General features: G+C 44.7%; 1 protein-coding gene across 5 annotated transcripts in view; it reads left to right on the top strand.

Annotated features, from left to right (window-relative positions):
- The window catches only part of CX3CR1 (C-X3-C motif chemokine receptor 1), a 29,473-nt gene extending 15,090 nt beyond the window's left edge, over positions 1-14,383 (top strand). For 3 of the 5 annotated variants that reach the window (NM_001171171.2, NM_001171172.2, NM_001337.4), the window contains exon 2: positions 11,359-14,381. In NM_001171171.2, the coding sequence (NP_001164642.1) occupies positions 11,368-12,435 (1,068 nt within the window). In that variant the 5' untranslated portion in view covers positions 11,359-11,367 and the 3' untranslated portion in view covers positions 12,436-14,381. Of the gene's footprint in view, positions 1-11,358 lie in introns of all 5 variants that reach the window. The other 2 variants (XM_047447538.1, NM_001171174.1) reach the window with 1 other exon arrangement.

Raw genomic sequence — 17,644 nt, 5'->3', positions numbered from 1 at the left:
GGAAACTGAGCCTCAGAAAGTTTGGATACCTGAAAAACACTGACTACTATTGAATGAGGTTGTGAAGAATCCAGAGCTGTAGGGGCAGGAAAGCAAAGAACGTATTAGAGCTGACCCAGTCAGGACGATCGTCTATCCCCTTCCTCACCCCACCCCATCCCAGGAGGAAGCCTGCCCGGCCCTAGGCAGCTATGGCACAGTGGCAATGTCAGGTATGGTTCTCCCTAGCCAGAGACCCTAGCCTCAAAAAACCTCCTTCTTGGGATCCAGGCATCCAACTGCTCCTCCCCAGCCCCAGCCTCTGACCCAGTATCCTGAGTCCAGAGACGTTTGGAACCAGCACCTGTAATGGAGGAGCTGAACAAGGAGGGGAACTTCTGCTGCTCCACAGCAGGTCACGGTCATAGGAGGGAGTGGAACCAGAATGGCAGAATCCAGATCTTGGCTGCCTTTCCCAAGGACTTGTTCTGATTCCTAGCAGCACAGCCCAGGCATTCCGAGAAGTTGGGCTCTCTGGCATCACTCACTCTGCCCAGAAGAGCCAGGGGAAAGTTGGGGCTTCTAGCTGAACCTTGATCCCACCTGCCCTCTTGAGGGGCTCAGAATCTGCTGGCTGCTTCACAGGTGGGATTCTCACGGCACGCTGGCCACAGCTGATGCTTCGACCCCCTCATCTTGTTTGGCCAAAGTGCAGCTTTTTAGCTTGTGAGTAAGGAAGAAAAGCTGTATCATATGTCTTTAAACATCTTCCTAGACCACCTTTGTTTTCCCCTTAAAGTGTGCTTAAGGAGAAAATGGAAAGTCTCTTTTCAGTGTGTTGTATTTTGTTTATTGCAAAATACAACACACTGAAAGAACAATGTCTGGGTTAGCAAAGTATTAGATTTAATTTCCCACATTACTACCATCCAGGCTGAGAAAGAGAACCCCAGAAGCCTCTCTCATGTCCCTTCCTGACCACAGCCTCTTCCTCTCCCACAAAGAACCACAAGTCTGACTTCTATGGTGATCACTTCCTTGCTTTTCCCTATAGTTTGACTGAATCTAAATATCATCCCTAAACAATATAGCTTAGCTTTGCCTATTTTTGATCTTCATATTTGGATTCATACTTTTTGGTTTGGCTCAAGACTAAACTTTTAAAATGCATCCACGTTGTAGGAGATGTACATGCACAAAAATTTTCACGGCAACATTGTCCAAACTAGCAACAAACTGAAAGCCACCTATGTGTGCATTAGCAGTAGAAATGGCAATAAATCATGGACTAGTCACACAGTGGAATCCTACGCAGCAAGGAGAATTAGCAGTCTACAGCCAAACCAACAGCATGGGTGAGATGCTTCCAGAAATACTGAGATGAATTTAGAGATAAAGGCACAATTGGTCCATATCTACAGGGCACTTAATCCAGTGCATCTCCACTAGACAAAATTTGTATTTCCATGAGCAAGAGTCATTTGCACTGCTATCTGCTATAACCTACGGTGCTGTAAAATTAGCTCAGGCAATAAAAGGGGGAGGTAGCCCCAAAGAGTATGCCAGAAAGGACTCCCAGTAATCTTCAGTGTGTGTCTATTTCAAAGTCTTTCATCATTTTTCCTTGTAGTTACTTAGTGTGGAATTTCAGACCCCTCTCTATGTCCCTCTTCTCCCTTTTCAGCCTTGGCTTTCTCTGCATCCTTCCCCGAAGCCCTGCACTCAGCCTAAACTGACTTTCCTGAACACTCTGGGAGCATGTGGGCTCCTCCCAACTCCACCATCTTCACTGCCTTCTGTTCCTATTTCCCTCTGCCTGGCCTTGGCCCCAGGAAACCTTCCTATGCTCAGACCCTCTGTGCCTTTGTCTTCAAAGCCCACCCACTATTCACTGCCACCTCCATCTTGGTCAACCTGGAAGACTTTCCCCATCCTTAAAACATCAGCTCAAACGGCAGATTTTTTTTTTTTTTTTTGTGATATCCTCTTGATCACCCTCCCCCAGTTTTTAAGGAGACAGATATAGAGGTTCAATCCTTGGGCTTCCCATGACTTTTCTTATATTCTGTTACTGAGCAATAATAAACACTTCTAGGAACTGTATCTTAAACACTTTTGCCTCTACAGAATCTAGCACAGTGCCTAGTATTGGTGAAATATAATTAACAAAGTCTTCTTTCAACACAGAGATTCTCTCCACAAAAGGAGTAGAGAAAGAACAGTTTTATTATGGAATAAGCAGTAAACCAAAATATGCAGAGCATTATAGGCCATCTACTAAGAGGTTGCAAGAACAGAAAGAAATCTCCCCCTTTTGTATAGCCAAGTAGATACAACCTGTTACATACATGTTATCAAGGCAAACAATAACTGTTCCTCAAGTAAGAGGTCTTGCCAGCACCGTTTGCCGTACATGGTTCACTCTAAATTTACCTGGTAATTAGGGTAACCACTTGTGTTAGCTAACTGGCTCTACCCAGAGGAAAATCAAATTTATCTTTAAGACAAGGGGTAATTTTGCAGCACTGAGCAAGGCTCTTCAGTTAGGCTCATACCTTCCCACAGAAACTAAGAGATAGAAGCACTATCTCCCTTAGGTTTGTTTACATTTCAAAGAGATGACGCCCAGGTCCTTGGGAAAGACTAGCTTAGCTCATAAAGCTGACAAAAAGCCTATCTAGTTTCAAAAGGATTTACACATGTTCAAAGAGAGGAGAAAGTATGTAAAAGTTTTCTAGGTGGGCACGGTGGCTCACACCTGTATTCCCAGCACTTTGAGAGGCTGAGGCGGGTGGATCACCTGAAGTCAGGAATTTGAGATCAGCCTGGCCAACATGGTGAAACCTTGTCTCTACTAAAAATACAAAAATTAGCTGGGCATGGTGGTGGGCGCCTGTAATCCCAGCTACTTGGGAGGCTGAGGCAGGAGAATCACTTGAACCCAGGAGGTGGAGGTGGCAGTGAGCCAAGATGGCACCATTGCACTCCAGCCTGGGCGATGAGAGTGAAACTCCATGTCAAAAAAAAAAAAAGTTTTCTAAAGTAAATGCTCTGAGAAAAAAACAGAAGGTGAGGAGATCTCTGTCCTTATTTTTAACAAGAATAATTAAATGTTTTTATTTTTAATTTCTACTTAGACTAGAATATGGTACAGATGCTCAAAAATATTGACTTAATTAATAATTAAACAATTAACAAGTCTATCTCTTTCCTAATTATTAAAAAAATTATGAAGTATTTCCCTTCAAAATTTCACAGTTTACTTTGACATAAATAAATAAATACCATAAAGTATTTTGAAGAGGAAAGGGAAGGGTGGGGCTTCAAACACAAAATAATGGCAGGTTTTGTAAAGGGGCAATTCACTAAACCCAATAGGATTCTCCTGTTGCTATTTTTTTTTTTTTTTTTTTTTTGGTGGTGGTTGGAGGGAAGGGTTGGGTGTGCATTTGGCCTGTGTGAAAAACTGGTGGGTAGACAATGCCATGCTGTTCTAGATGGGCTCATTGCTATAGGAATAGATAGTCACTGAATTTACTTGCATAGGGGATGGGGTATAAAATGTTTCCTTATAGCTCCTTAACATGGAATTCAGCACCCCTCTCCCCATCAGCCTTAGCTCTCTCTGAATCCCAAGGGATATGTGTTATAAAAATAGCTGCCATCATAAATGAGAAAACCATCAGGACCTGGTAAAACTTGGCTTCCCAAACAGTCAGGGGTCTGGGCATGGCAGCCGACTGAGAACCTTTCTATCTAGTACAAGGTAAACAAGATTTGCCAAGACTTGATCAACTGATCCAGCTCCCTATCTCCAAACAGAACCTCATCTGAATGCTCACAGGCTGTGCCCCAGAAGTGTAGAAGTGTCATGTTCCCTGGGCAGGCTGCTGGGCAGCCTCTCTGTTGACAATAGACCACACTTTTGCTGACCTAGGACTCATGTTGCTCTTTAAGACTGCTTCCTTGGCCAGGCATGATGGCTCACACCTGTAATCCTGGCACTTTGAGAGGCCCAGGCAGGAGGATCTCTTGAGGCCAGATGTTCAAGACCAGCCTGGTCAACATAGTAAGACCCCATATCTACCAAAAATAGCTGGGCATGGTGGTGCACACCTATACTCCCAGCTACTTAGGAGACTGAGGTGGGAGGATTGCTACATCCCAGGAGTTCAAGGCTGTAGTGAGCTATGATCATGCCACTGCACTCCAGCCTGGGCAACAGAGCGAGATCCTGTCTCAAACAAACAGTTTCCTTCTGTTTGATTCTTGCTGAAAAATTGAGCATGCCAGAGCTAGCAAGGCTCTTAGAGGTGGTCTGGTCCAATGCTTTAATTTCATACATCAAGAAACTGAAGCAGAGCAGAGTGACCTGCCCAGGGTCTCTCAGCCATTCATGCTCAGAAATGTATGGGCTCCTGTGAAACATGTGGCTCTTAAAAGCACTATCATATATTTGAAGGCAGAAAATAGGCTAAACCTTCAGCCTTCAGACTTTTCCTCTCCAGAGAAAATGACCCCAGTTTCCTCACTATGGTTGCTGGGAGCTAGATTCCTGGGGATCTGGCAGTGTGGACCACCTAGTGGTGGCTAGAGGAGCAAATAATATCCCGCATTCCATTTTCCACTCACCAATCCCTGAGGGGCAGCCTGCTGGGTTATGAGCCCACAGGGGGAGAACCCCAACGAATTCAGAGATGCATCATGGACCAGTTTCTCTTAAGGGGCCTGGGTCTACTATTTTCAGTTCTACTTCGAGAGAAGTGGCCTGCAATATCCTGCAGATTTCCCCTCCAGGGAGAAAAGCATTGTGCGGTGCAAGGAGCACAGGCTTTGTGGAAAGAGGCATCTGGGGTTGAGATCCTGGCTCTTTTGCTTCCTTGAACAAGTTAACCAAATCTCTGGGCCTCTGCTGGTTAATTTATACCATGGGGATCATCATTTCTCCAGTGGGGTTGTGAAGAGAATGTGGTGGGATCTTGTGTGTGGAGCATGACACTTAGCAGGCATCCGGGAATGGCAGCCTCCTCCCTTTCTAAACTGGGGCTTTCTGAGGGTGACTTCAGATTCCACAATGTCAACAGCACAATGGCATCCTCATAAGGAAAGTTTGGGTTGGGGCTCCTCAAGCAATTCTCTACTCTCATTTGGTACAAAGAAAAAAATTAAGCCTCACAATTTTCTTGGCACCAGACTGAACCTCAAACCCAGTCTTCACTTTTACTAAAAAGCCATAAACAGAGACCAGGAGGGTAAAAACTACCAGAAGATACACTGGATTTAGAAAACAGTAAGCTGGATGTGAAGCCAAAAGAGAGGGAGAAAGCAACATAAAAGAATGTCAGATTGAAGAAGAAATGGATTCTGGCCACCTAAAGAAGAAGGGAAGTATAGAAAAGGGAAGCTGATTGGAAACAATGGGTAATGATGAGTGTCCCTCCCCTAAAAAGTTAAAAAATAAATGAGCAGGCATGAGAAAAGGAAGTAGGCCAGAGGAAGTAGACCAGGATCAGCCACGGATGTGAGTGGGGAATTTTACAAATTTCTACTTGGGTGTGAAACATGTGTACACTCAAAGCTCTGTCTAGGTTCACCGAAACTCTCCCAGCTCAAGGCCATTTAGTAAAACCTTGGCTTAACTGAATAGTGGGTAAGGAGGCCTGAGGATGGCCCAGAGAAGGTTTAAATTCTTACTGGCTGCTGCACTAAGTTGTAAAGTGCAGCCTTAGTTGATGATGCCTTTATTAGTGCAACATCCCAGAATGCATGCGTCTTACAACCCTTGTGGATATGAAACCCAGCTGGGTAGACACTGCAAAGTCTTCTCATTTGATTCTTCCACTTGGTTTCTAGTGTCCCTCAGGGACAAAGGAAAGCCATGGTCCAGTCTAAGATGAAAACCAATTAGACCTCTGGCAGGCCTTTGACCACCCTGAGGGCCACCCCCAAGGCACGGCCACACTCGCATCTGCTGCCAGGAGGCCCTATCTTAGGCTCAGCTCCCAAACCTTGAACATCTTGGAGGATCCACAAATAGGAGGTACACTCAGCTCAGGCTCAGTCTTCCTTAAAAAGCGCCTTGCTAAAGCTATCAAGTTCACTGGAATACTTCTGCGAAGGACACAGCTTCAGCGATGTCAGATTTTTTATGTAAATGGTGCCTTCACATGCTCTGGGGCATTTGGCTACCAAGGGCGGTTTGAACTAGCTCCAGCACACAGAATACAAGTCTCTTCAGAACCAGGCAAAACCCTATGTTGCCCAATGACTCCTGCTGTTTCTTGAGATTTGCACAGAAGACAGAGCTGCAATTACCCACGCTGATATCTATTTCATGACCACATATGTTCAAAAGCCACATGTGAGAGGTATGGTTGAAATGAGAGGTTGTGTTTGCCAAGTTGTCTTCTGACTGTGGAGAGCTGGTGAGCCTCTTCTCATCTCCTGGGGCTCCATATTATAGAGCTGACGAATCTCTTTTCTTGCTCCTTGAAGTCTTTCATTCACTTATTTATTAATTCATTTAACACATCAGGCACCTACTAACTTCTCAGAGTTCAAGGCTTCCTAGCCTATGATCAGAAAGGACACCTGTGTGCTCATGAGCACCCCTGGGATCAGGGTGACTGATAGGGTGCTGTCATCACTACTAGATGAAACTCTTTGGAACAAAGGTCTAGGATATAATATTTATCCTTCTGCAAATATTCATATGGCATTCGCTGTGTACCAGGCCTTCTGTTGAACATTGGCCTGCAGAGCTGAAGAGGACGTGGGTCTTCTCTTAGGAACTCCTAGTCTTGGGAAAAAGGAATGGGGAAGGGCTGTAATGTGAAGTTAAAAAAAAGTGCTGAGGCCGAACACATCTGGGCCCTCACTGCAGCCCTATTGCACACACACTGCATCACCTCGAACAAGTTATTCACCCTCTCTGAATTCATCTATTTGCCCATAAAAATAGAGATGATCCTTTTATATGTTGGCTACCACTTATTATGTGCAGCATGCTTGTTATTGTACTAAGTTACTCATTTTTTAGTTTTTCATATAACTCATATTTTTGTTGATTTTTATTTTAAAATTCCAAACGAATTAATTAAACTATTTTCCAAAATACGTAGTATGTGTACATGGTAAAAAACATTTCCAAAAGTTTACCATAAAAACTGTCTCCTTTCCCATATCCTCAATCCTTCAGAATCCCTCTCCAGGGATAATTACCACCACCAGTGTATTCCTTAAGAGATATTTAAACTTTATACAAAATACGCACACATCATTCTTTTCCACAAATGACAGCATACTATGTACATGGTACCTCACCTAGCTTTTTTCACTTACCAGTATATCTTAGAGATTGTTGCATGACAGAATATACAGATCTGCCTGTTTTTGTTGTTTTTCCCAAGTTTCCAAGAGCTAGAAACTGTTTGGTTTTTAAGCAGCTGCTTGGTATTCCATTAATTGGACTTATCGTGCTTTGATCTGTCCCTAGTGATGGACATTGGGGTTGTTTCCCTTCATTTATATTTGAAGCTTGTTGCAGTGACAGTGTACACACTTGCTTGAGCATGTGTGTGTCTACGATAAATCCCAATAAGCAATTTAAAGTAATTTAATTCTTATGCTCTCAACAAACCTAAGAGGTTATTTTTTTAGAGGAGGAAGCTAAGGCTGTTGTTTTGATGCCTTTTTACCACTGGACTTGGGACTCAACTGTTTGATAGTCATCGAGTCCTTGACTCTTCTCCCCTGCCAGGATTTGGCCCCTAAGCCCAGGGCCCGAGTCTCCTCCATCTTCAAGGGAGAGTGGGAACAGCACAGGCCTTGGCCTCAGTCCTGCTCCCCCTGCTTCTAGCTGTGGGATGGGCCAGGTGCTTCACCCAGCTGTGCCTCCTGTGAGGCACAGTGTGTGCAAAATGGAAATGTGAACATGAAGATCAAAAATGTCCCTCAATGACCAGTGCTGTTCCTCAGAGTCACGTGGGAACTCATAGAAAGCGATATTGGTACTGCTCTTTCCTCTGTAGCATGGTCCAGATGGCTCATAGCAGGGACCATGATATGCTGGGTGAGCACCCACTGCATGCACCCACTGTGCCAGCACTGAGAGACTCCTGTGGGAGCCACAGCAATTCTAGGGTCTTCACTGGGGACTCTGAGACAGCAGGGAGCTAGGATGAGGGCTGCAGAGTGTTCGTCTGCCCTCACTGAGCAGACCCCCTGGATGGCAGGGAGCAGTCCCAAGCCAGATGGATGCCCATAACCAGCCATTTGGCTCTCAATACATAATATCACCACGTATCAGGCAAAACCATCCTGCCCAGAGCATTATCTGAATTTGCATCCCATCTGCAGAAGATACATTCACCCACTTCTTCCATTCTGTCTTAATCAAAGTCTTTATGTGAATTTTCCCCATTGAGAAGACAAGCCCCTTCCTGGCTTAGACTGTACCTGACTGATCTTTTCATGAGCTCCTTGCCAAGCCAGACCACCCCCAGCTTATATGGAGACTTGGTGCAAATTAGAGATGCCCCTGTGCACGTGGCAGCCCTGAGCCCAAGCACCCAGTAAGGCAAAGGGCCTGATTTGGGACCCCTCTGCCACTCCACCAGGCAATCAGTTGCTTATTTCTAACTTTCCCTTCCTTCTCCACATTTGTCCCATTCCTTCCTCTCATCATGAATATCCCCAGAGGCATTCAGCAGTGCAGTGAATTAAATATAGAACTTTTTTTTTTCAGAATTGCAGAACGGATTAGATCAATATTAATCCAAACAGAGCAATGAGCCTGACAGTTTAGTAAAAGCTCAATAAAGGGTGGCTTACCTCCCCCAAAATAATCTGAAAAGAAAGCATGTCTTATTTCAGGGGGAAAAAAAAATAAAGTGACCTTTAAAGACCAAATTCCCAGGATACCCAGGGTGGAGGTGGAACATGGGAGTCCACAGGCAGCCTGGATGTTTCCAAAGATCCAAAGGGCTTTTGCTTCCTCACATAATGCAGGAAACAAATTGAACATGTATTAAGTGCTTGCTGTATGTGACACACTGTGCCAGGTGCTCCCCTTAAAACAGTTCTGTGGGCAGGCATGAGAATGAATCCCGATCTTACAGACAAGGAATGTTAGGCTCAGAGGTTTCAAGCTCACCCATCACTCAGCCAGAGAGGACAGATGCAGGATTCAATCTCGGGAGTGCCCGAGTCCACAGAAGTTCCTGTGCTGAAGGACCGACCACAGGCACATAAAGAGATGCGAGACAATTTTTACTGGATTTGGCCACCTCTCGAGGTCGGCTTTGCCAGCTCTTCTCACTGGGGGAAGGGGAGGGAGAAAGTAGCTAGCTCCAGGGTCCCTAACATAGAACCACCAAGGACTTGACTATTTTTACTCATACAGCAGCTTGTCTGGGAAGATCATGCTCTGTGACAAGCTGCAGGCACTAAGTAGCAATTTCTGTTTCCCACATATTAGCTTGAGTCATATAAAACTGACATGGATGTGGCTCAAAAATAGCTGTATGTCAGCCATTTTATACCATTTGACTTAAATGTTATTAATTAACGTCACAGCCAGAGATTATTCTCTGAGAAAAGGGCATTGTAGCCTGAAGCAGAGAAAGCATACACGTTCCCTGGGGTTGAGAACTCATCACAGCCTGAGACAGCTTAGGTTGTAAAGCCCCGGCCCACTTATCCCAGGAGAGTCTGGGTGAGATGCAGGCCCCAAAGCAGAGGCTGGGAAGCGAGAAGTGACACACCCTGGCTGGGTGGGCCCTCATCTTGGTGAGACACCACCTGGGTAAAACCATCATGGAAAGGGTGTAGTGGGGCGTGGAAACTCCCTCGGTTAAAGCGTGAGCTTTGCTGTAAGTTGTGGTAAGGAGGGAGGCAGTGACAACCAGGAGGCCTGTTTTGAGGGTTTCTGAGGGACCCATCTGTGGTATCACGAGGAGACGCCCAGAGGAGCCGTGTGAAAGGGCTGCCTCCCAGCCGGCTCTGGAGTGAATGAGCAGCAAGTCCTGGCTGCGAAAAGAAGGGGAGTGCAGCCTGCAGAAGTGTCTTCTTTTTTCAATTCCTGCTCAGAAGGAAACAGGAGATAAGAATAGTGGGGAAGTCCAAACCAAAGTGAACTATAGGGCTGGTAATCGTAGGGGGAATTAGTCACCCGGAGACTAGCCCAGCAGACTAACGGAGCCCCATCCTCCATCTTGAATCAGTCAGCCCCTCTATGACTGCAGAGTCCTGAATGATGGCAACACCTTCTCTTCACTTAGCGTTGTAGGATGACCAACAGTCCTGATTTGCCTGGGACTGAGGGGTTCCCAATAGATGGGACTTTCAGGGCTAAAACCAGGAAAGTCCTGGGCAGCCCAAAACAAGGTAGTCACTCTAGAGTGTATGACTCTGTCTGATACCTGCTAAGAAAGAGAAGGACTTGTTGATTATAAGGAGAAGAGGAGGTGAAATGGTTCTCAAAAAACAAAGATGAGGGCTTCCGGGTGCTGTTCTGCCCAAGGCTCTGGGTCTGAGGCTTCTCTCTCCAGGCCTAGCTTCATGGAAAAGTAAGGGGCCAGAGGGTGGAAAAGGTGGAAACAAAGGAAGAGGATGGAGAATTGCTTTGGGGAAGTTTGGACTGGAAGTGTGAATTACAGCTGCACCCCCAATTCACCCCATCTCACCCCCCTCCCCCTCCTGCTCATGGTTCTCCCTTTCTCATCCACACATTGGTCAAACTAGCTAGCTTTTGGAGAGATTTTGGGCAGTAAAAGTAAAACAGATCTGTCTCAAGCTTCAAAAAGCCTAGAGCTGGCTGGGCGCTGTGGCTCACGCCTGTAATCCTAGCATTTTGGGAGGCTGAGGCGGAAGGATAATCTGAGGTCAGGAGTTTGAGACCAGCCTGGCTAACATGATGAAACCCCATCTCTACTAAAAATACAAAAATTAGCCAGGCGTGGTAGTGCACGCCTATAATCCCAGCTATTTGGGAGGCTGAGGCAGGAGAATCGCTTGAACCCCAGGGGACAGAGGTTGCAGTGAGCTGAGATCGCACCACTGCACTCCAGCCTGGGTGACACAGCGAGACTCCATTTAAAAAAAAAAAAATGCCTAGAGCCAAATGCTCACAGAGCCATTTACTGCATGGCTTTGGGCAAGTCAAAGGAGTCCGCCTCTCCTGTCAGAAGAGTCTGTTGCAGTCTTCATCACAAGACTGTTGTGGGGATTAAACAAGATGGCAAGTGGGAAGTTGGGAAATGTAGTGTGCACCCAACCAATATTTGTTTCTTCCTGCCTGCCTACATATGAGGCCACACAGAATTCCAACTTTGTTTCTCTGATAACTAACACAGTTACTTGTTTTTCTTTCTGATCCAGGCCTTCACCATGGATCAGTTCCCTGAATCAGTGACAGAAAACTTTGAGTACGATGATTTGGCTGAGGCCTGTTATATTGGGGACATCGTGGTCTTTGGGACTGTGTTCCTGTCCATATTCTACTCCGTCATCTTTGCCATTGGCCTGGTGGGAAATTTGTTGGTAGTGTTTGCCCTCACCAACAGCAAGAAGCCCAAGAGTGTCACCGACATTTACCTCCTGAACCTGGCCTTGTCTGATCTGCTGTTTGTAGCCACTTTGCCCTTCTGGACTCACTATTTGATAAATGAAAAGGGCCTCCACAATGCCATGTGCAAATTCACTACCGCCTTCTTCTTCATCGGCTTTTTTGGAAGCATATTCTTCATCACCGTCATCAGCATTGATAGGTACCTGGCCATCGTCCTGGCCGCCAACTCCATGAACAACCGGACCGTGCAGCATGGCGTCACCATCAGCCTAGGCGTCTGGGCAGCAGCCATTTTGGTGGCAGCACCCCAGTTCATGTTCACAAAGCAGAAAGAAAATGAATGCCTTGGTGACTACCCCGAGGTCCTCCAGGAAATCTGGCCCGTGCTCCGCAATGTGGAAACAAATTTTCTTGGCTTCCTACTCCCCCTGCTCATTATGAGTTATTGCTACTTCAGAATCATCCAGACGCTGTTTTCCTGCAAGAACCACAAGAAAGCCAAAGCCATTAAACTGATCCTTCTGGTGGTCATCGTGTTTTTCCTCTTCTGGACACCCTACAACGTTATGATTTTCCTGGAGACGCTTAAGCTCTATGACTTCTTTCCCAGTTGTGACATGAGGAAGGATCTGAGGCTGGCCCTCAGTGTGACTGAGACGGTTGCATTTAGCCATTGTTGCCTGAATCCTCTCATCTATGCATTTGCTGGGGAGAAGTTCAGAAGATACCTTTACCACCTGTATGGGAAATGCCTGGCTGTCCTGTGTGGGCGCTCAGTCCACGTTGATTTCTCCTCATCTGAATCACAAAGGAGCAGGCATGGAAGTGTTCTGAGCAGCAATTTTACTTACCACACGAGTGATGGAGATGCATTGCTCCTTCTCTGAAGGGAATCCCAAAGCCTTGTGTCTACAGAGAACCTGGAGTTCCTGAACCTGATGCTGACTAGTGAGGAAAGATTTTTGTTGTTATTTCTTACAGGCACAAAATGATGGACCCAATGCACACAAAACAACCCTAGAGTGTTGTTGAGAATTGTGCTCAAAATTTGAAGAATGAACAAATTGAACTCTTTGAATGACAAAGAGTAGACATTTCTCTTACTGCAAATGTCATCAGAACTTTTTGGTTTGCAGATGACAAAAATTCAACTCAGACTAGTTTAGTTAAATGAGGGTGGTGAATATTGTTCATATTGTGGCACAAGCAAAAGGGTGTCTGAGCCCTCAAAGTGAGGGGAAACCAGGGCCTGAGCCAAGCTAGAATTCCCTCTCTCTGACTCTCAAATCTTTTAGTCATTATAGATCCCCCAGACTTTACATGACACAGCTTTATCACCAGAGAGGGACTGACACCCATGTTTCTCTGGCCCCAAGGGCAAAATTCCCAGGGAAGTGCTCTGATAGGCCAAGTTTGTATCAGGTGCCCATCCCTGGAAGGTGCTGTTATCCATGGGGAAGGGATATATAAGATGGAAGCTTCCAGTCCAATCTCATGGAGAAGCAGAAATACATATTTCCAAGAAGTTGGATGGGTGGGTACTATTCTGATTACACAAAACAAATGCCACACATCACCCTTACCATGTGCCTGATCCAGCCTCTCCCCTGATTACACCAGCCTCGTCTTCATTAAGCCCTCTTCCATCATGTCCCCAAACCTGCAAGGGCTCCCCACTGCCTACTGCATCGAGTCAAAACTCAAATGCTTGGCTTCTCATACGTCCACCATGGGGTCCTACCAATAGATTCCCCATTGCCTCCTCCTTCCCAAAGGACTCCACCCATCCTATCAGCCTGTCTCTTCCATATGACCTCATGCATCTCCACCTGCTCCCAGGCCAGTAAGGGAAATAGAAAAACCCTGCCCCCAAATAAGAAGGGATGGATTCCAACCCCAACTCCAGTAGCTTGGGACAAATCAAGCTTCAGTTTCCTGGTCTGTAGAAGAGGGATAAGGTACCTTTCACATAGAGATCATCCTTTCCAGCATGAGGAACTAGCCACCAACTCTTGCAGGTCTCAACCCTTTTGTCTGCCTCTTAGACTTCTGCTTTCCACACCTGGCACTGCTGTGCTGTGCCCAAGTTGTGGTGCTGACAAAGCTTGGAAGAGCCTGCAGGTGCTGCTGCGTGGCATAGCCCAGACACAGAAGAGGCTGGTTCTTACGATGGCACCCAGTGAGCACTCCCAAGTCTACAGAGTGATAGCCTTCCGTAACCCAACTCTCCTGGACTGCCTTGAATATCCCCTCCCAGTCACCTTGTGGCAAGCCCCTGCCCATCTGGGAAAATACCCCATCATTCATGCTACTGCCAACCTGGGGAGCCAGGGCTATGGGAGCAGCTTTTTTTTCCCCCCTAGAAACGTTTGGAACAATCTAAAAGTTTAAAGCTCGAAAACAATTGTAATAATGCTAAAGAAAAAGTCATCCAATCTAACCACATCAATATTGTCATTCCTGTATTCACCCGTCCAGACCTTGTTCACACTCTCACATGTTTAGAGTTGCAATCGTAATGTACAGATGGTTTTATAATCTGATTTGTTTTCCTCTTAACGTTAGACCACAAATAGTGCTCGCTTTCTATGTAGTTTGGTAATTATCATTTTAGAAGACTCTACCAGACTGTGTATTCATTGAAGTCAGATGTGGTAACTGTTAAATTGCTGTGTATCTGATAGCTCTTTGGCAGTCTATATGTTTGTATAATGAATGAGAGAATAAGTCATGTTCCTTCAAGATCATGTACCCCAATTTACTTGCCATTACTCAATTGATAAACATTTAACTTGTTTCCAATGTTTAGCAAATACATATTTTATAGAACTTCCATCTGTGTAATCTTCTTTCTCCTATTCAATTATTTCCTGTGGTTAAATTCATTGCCATGGGGAAAACTGAGTCAAAGGGCATGGGAACACATTATCTTTGCATACACACATATGAAAGTCATATATTACACAACCTTTACTGAGTCGTATTATATACAAAACATGAACGCAGATCCAGAGCTATTCCAAAGGCAATGAGACCAAGCCTCTTCCCTCAATAATTTAAATGCAGAAGAGAAGTGAAGGAATAATCACGCTTTGCATTAGGTGGTAGCAGAGGAGTACTACGTGACTTCTGACCTGCGTCTTTAAGGGACAGGGGTTCTCCAGGTAAAGAAAGAGGTGGCATTCCAGGCTGAGGAAACAGCATGTATAAAGGAAGTGTGTGAGAGCCACAATGTGAGAAAACTCTGTGCGAATATTAAAAGGCGTTAGAAGCGGAGTGGGTGGTAGGAACTTTCTGAGCTGAGCTGTTAGCTGTGGGCTGAGCTAAAACAACCAATGGAGGGGGTGCTGGTTCTCCTCAGGGTGTTTACGGGGTTTCTTCGTTATTACCTGATCCTCATTCCAACTGTTGAACCATAAGACTTTTAATTAAAGTTTAACCTATTCCTGGACTTCTAAGAAGGAGGAAATAATTATTTTGGCTTGAGAAATAAAAGAAGAGAAATAAACACTTTCATTTCTAGAAGAAAATTAAATTTGTAACATTAGGAACCTATATTTATTCATTCATTTTGCTGAATAGGACAGAATAGGGAGAAAATAAGGAAGCTCATTGAAAAATCCAAAATAGCAAGGATGTTGGTGTCTAAATAAAGGAAGGCATTTTTGGAAAGGACAGCTGGCCCTCAGAGCACACCTGAATCAGACCCACTCCTGCTTCTGAGGTCTGGGCTTCCCAAGAGCAGAGGGATCTGCCTGTGATGAATCCCGACATATTAACTCTCTGCTTCGGCAGGTTGCTTAACATCTCTGAGGCTCAATCTCCTCATCAGAAAAATAAAGATAAAAGTAGTTCCCACCTGGTAGGGTTGGAGCAGAGGATTCAGTAAGATTACCCCTGCAAAGATCACAGTGCAGAACTGGCAAAGCAAGCTCGAGTGAATGGTGGTGATTATTTTTATACTTATTATTTTTAATATTAGACTGAGCTTTCCCCAGCAACTAAACACATGCTATCTTGTACTTGCCTTTTGCTTTTCTTAGTAGCAGAATCACAGACTCTTGGGTGGTTGGAGATAACTGGGTCCAAATCCACATTTCGTGGGTAAGAAAATGGAGGCTCAGAGAGGGCCAGCAGGTGCCCCAAGATGCCACAGTGAATTACTGGGAGAGGTAGATCCTTGATTCACAGTCTACCATCTCCTTCCTCATCTTGATAAAAATACAGATCAATCTGACCTCTAAGAGCAGAGAACACAGAAGGAAGGTCTGCAGGCAGATAATGAGGCAGGGAAAAGCAGCCCACAAGATAGCTGAAGAGTTTAACAGAATCAATCTGCACATGGACAGGTGTGTGCTGTGTGGCACAGCCTTTGGCAATTGCCTTTTGGAGACATCTGTATCTGCAATGATAGATGGTGTCAACTGAGACTCATCAGCAAAGGCTGCAGAATTCCCAGAGGCAAATGCTATCAGTGGCTTCCAAGAGGATCTGGGTGGGTGGGTCAAGACTTAGACAGACAGGCCACTGTGGAGGGACAGCCACACCCAGGGGCTGCCCAGTGCTTGGGTAAAATGCTGAATCCCTTCCACATAATTCCACTCACTTCATGCTTATTCTATGGTCATTTAATGACATTCTAAGAGAATGTCTCCTTCCCAGGGACCTTGCCATCAAGAAAGATGGAGCATATAGGCTTTCGGTTACTAAGAAGAGCTATCAACCCTTGTAATCCATTGCACCTAGAGTGTGTACAGGGTCTCATGGTTTTTCCATTCACCTCTCTCTGAGATGCTGTCCCTGAGCATCCAGGGAGAGAGTTCACCCAACAACTACACCTGGGAGCATAAGAGCCTGATTGAGAGGTCCACCTTGGGTAGTACCCGGGCCCAAGATGATGCCCATTTGTGCCTTCAAAATTGGAGCAGTTTGTCCTAACTCAGCAGCTAATTTTTTCTCCACCTGCACCGTACTCACTGGCCCATGGGGACCACTTCAGTTTCAACATGATTTGTAATATTGTTTGCTTAACTTGCTGAGTTGGCAACAAAATTTTGGGCTACTCAAAAGTAGTGTGATCTGAGAGCAAGTGAGAAAAGCGAGTCTTAGCAAATTTAGAAATATCCAGTTTCTCTTCAATATACTCTTCATCCACAGGAGGGCCAAGGGCCAAGTCGTTTTCTGAGGGATGTGTGGCATCGTGCTTCTATTTCCGTTACATTACAGCAGTTGTTAGGCAACAGGGAGTGTTCCTCCAGACACACCCGGGGCAGCGCTGGCAACCGCAAAACATGCTCAGCAGGAAGATTACTCTTTTACTCCATATTTCCTTATTTACTGAGATAGAAACAAAAATAACATTTTAATTTGCATTTCTTTGAATACTAGGTAAGATTGTTCATTTTTCAAGGCGTTTGTTTTAAATTATTTGTACATTTTTCTGATTCTAAAAGAAAGATACTCAGTATAGAAAACATGAAAAATATACAATTTAAAATTAAAAATGTTTAATTACACAATATTCAACCTCCCAGAGATAACTGTGGTTTAACACTGAAGTTATTTTCTGCTATGACCATATTTTAAAAAAAATACATAAGAATAGACATTTTTCAAAAGAAGACACACGAATGGCCAACAGGTAAGTGGAAAAATGTTCAACATTTCTAATTATTAGGAAAATGCAAATTAAAATCACAATGAGATATATCTCAGATTTGTCAGAATGGCTTTTATCAAAAAGACAAAAGATAATAAATGTCAGCAAGAACGTGGCAGAAGGGGAACTGTTGTGAACTGTTGGTAGAAATATGAATTAGTACAACCATTATGGACAACATTTTAGAGGTGTCTCCAAAACTAAAAATAGAATTACTATATGATCCAGCAATACCACTTCTGAGTATTTACCCAAAAGATGTGAAATCTGTTTGTTAAAGAGATGCCTGCACCCCCATGTTCATTGCAGCACTATTCACAATAGCCAAGTTATAGAATCAACCTAAGTGTCCATCAACAGAGGAGTGAATAAGGGAAATATGGCATATATACACAATAGAATACAATTCAGCCTTTAAGAAGAAGGAAACTCTGTTA

This window comes from Homo sapiens, chromosome 3, assembly GCF_000001405.40.
Source record: "Homo sapiens chromosome 3, GRCh38.p14 Primary Assembly".
Classification (NCBI taxonomy): Eukaryota; Metazoa; Chordata; class Mammalia; order Primates; family Hominidae; genus Homo; species Homo sapiens.
Note: the sequence above shows the minus strand (reverse complement) of the source record. Positions and strands in the feature narration are given on the sequence as shown.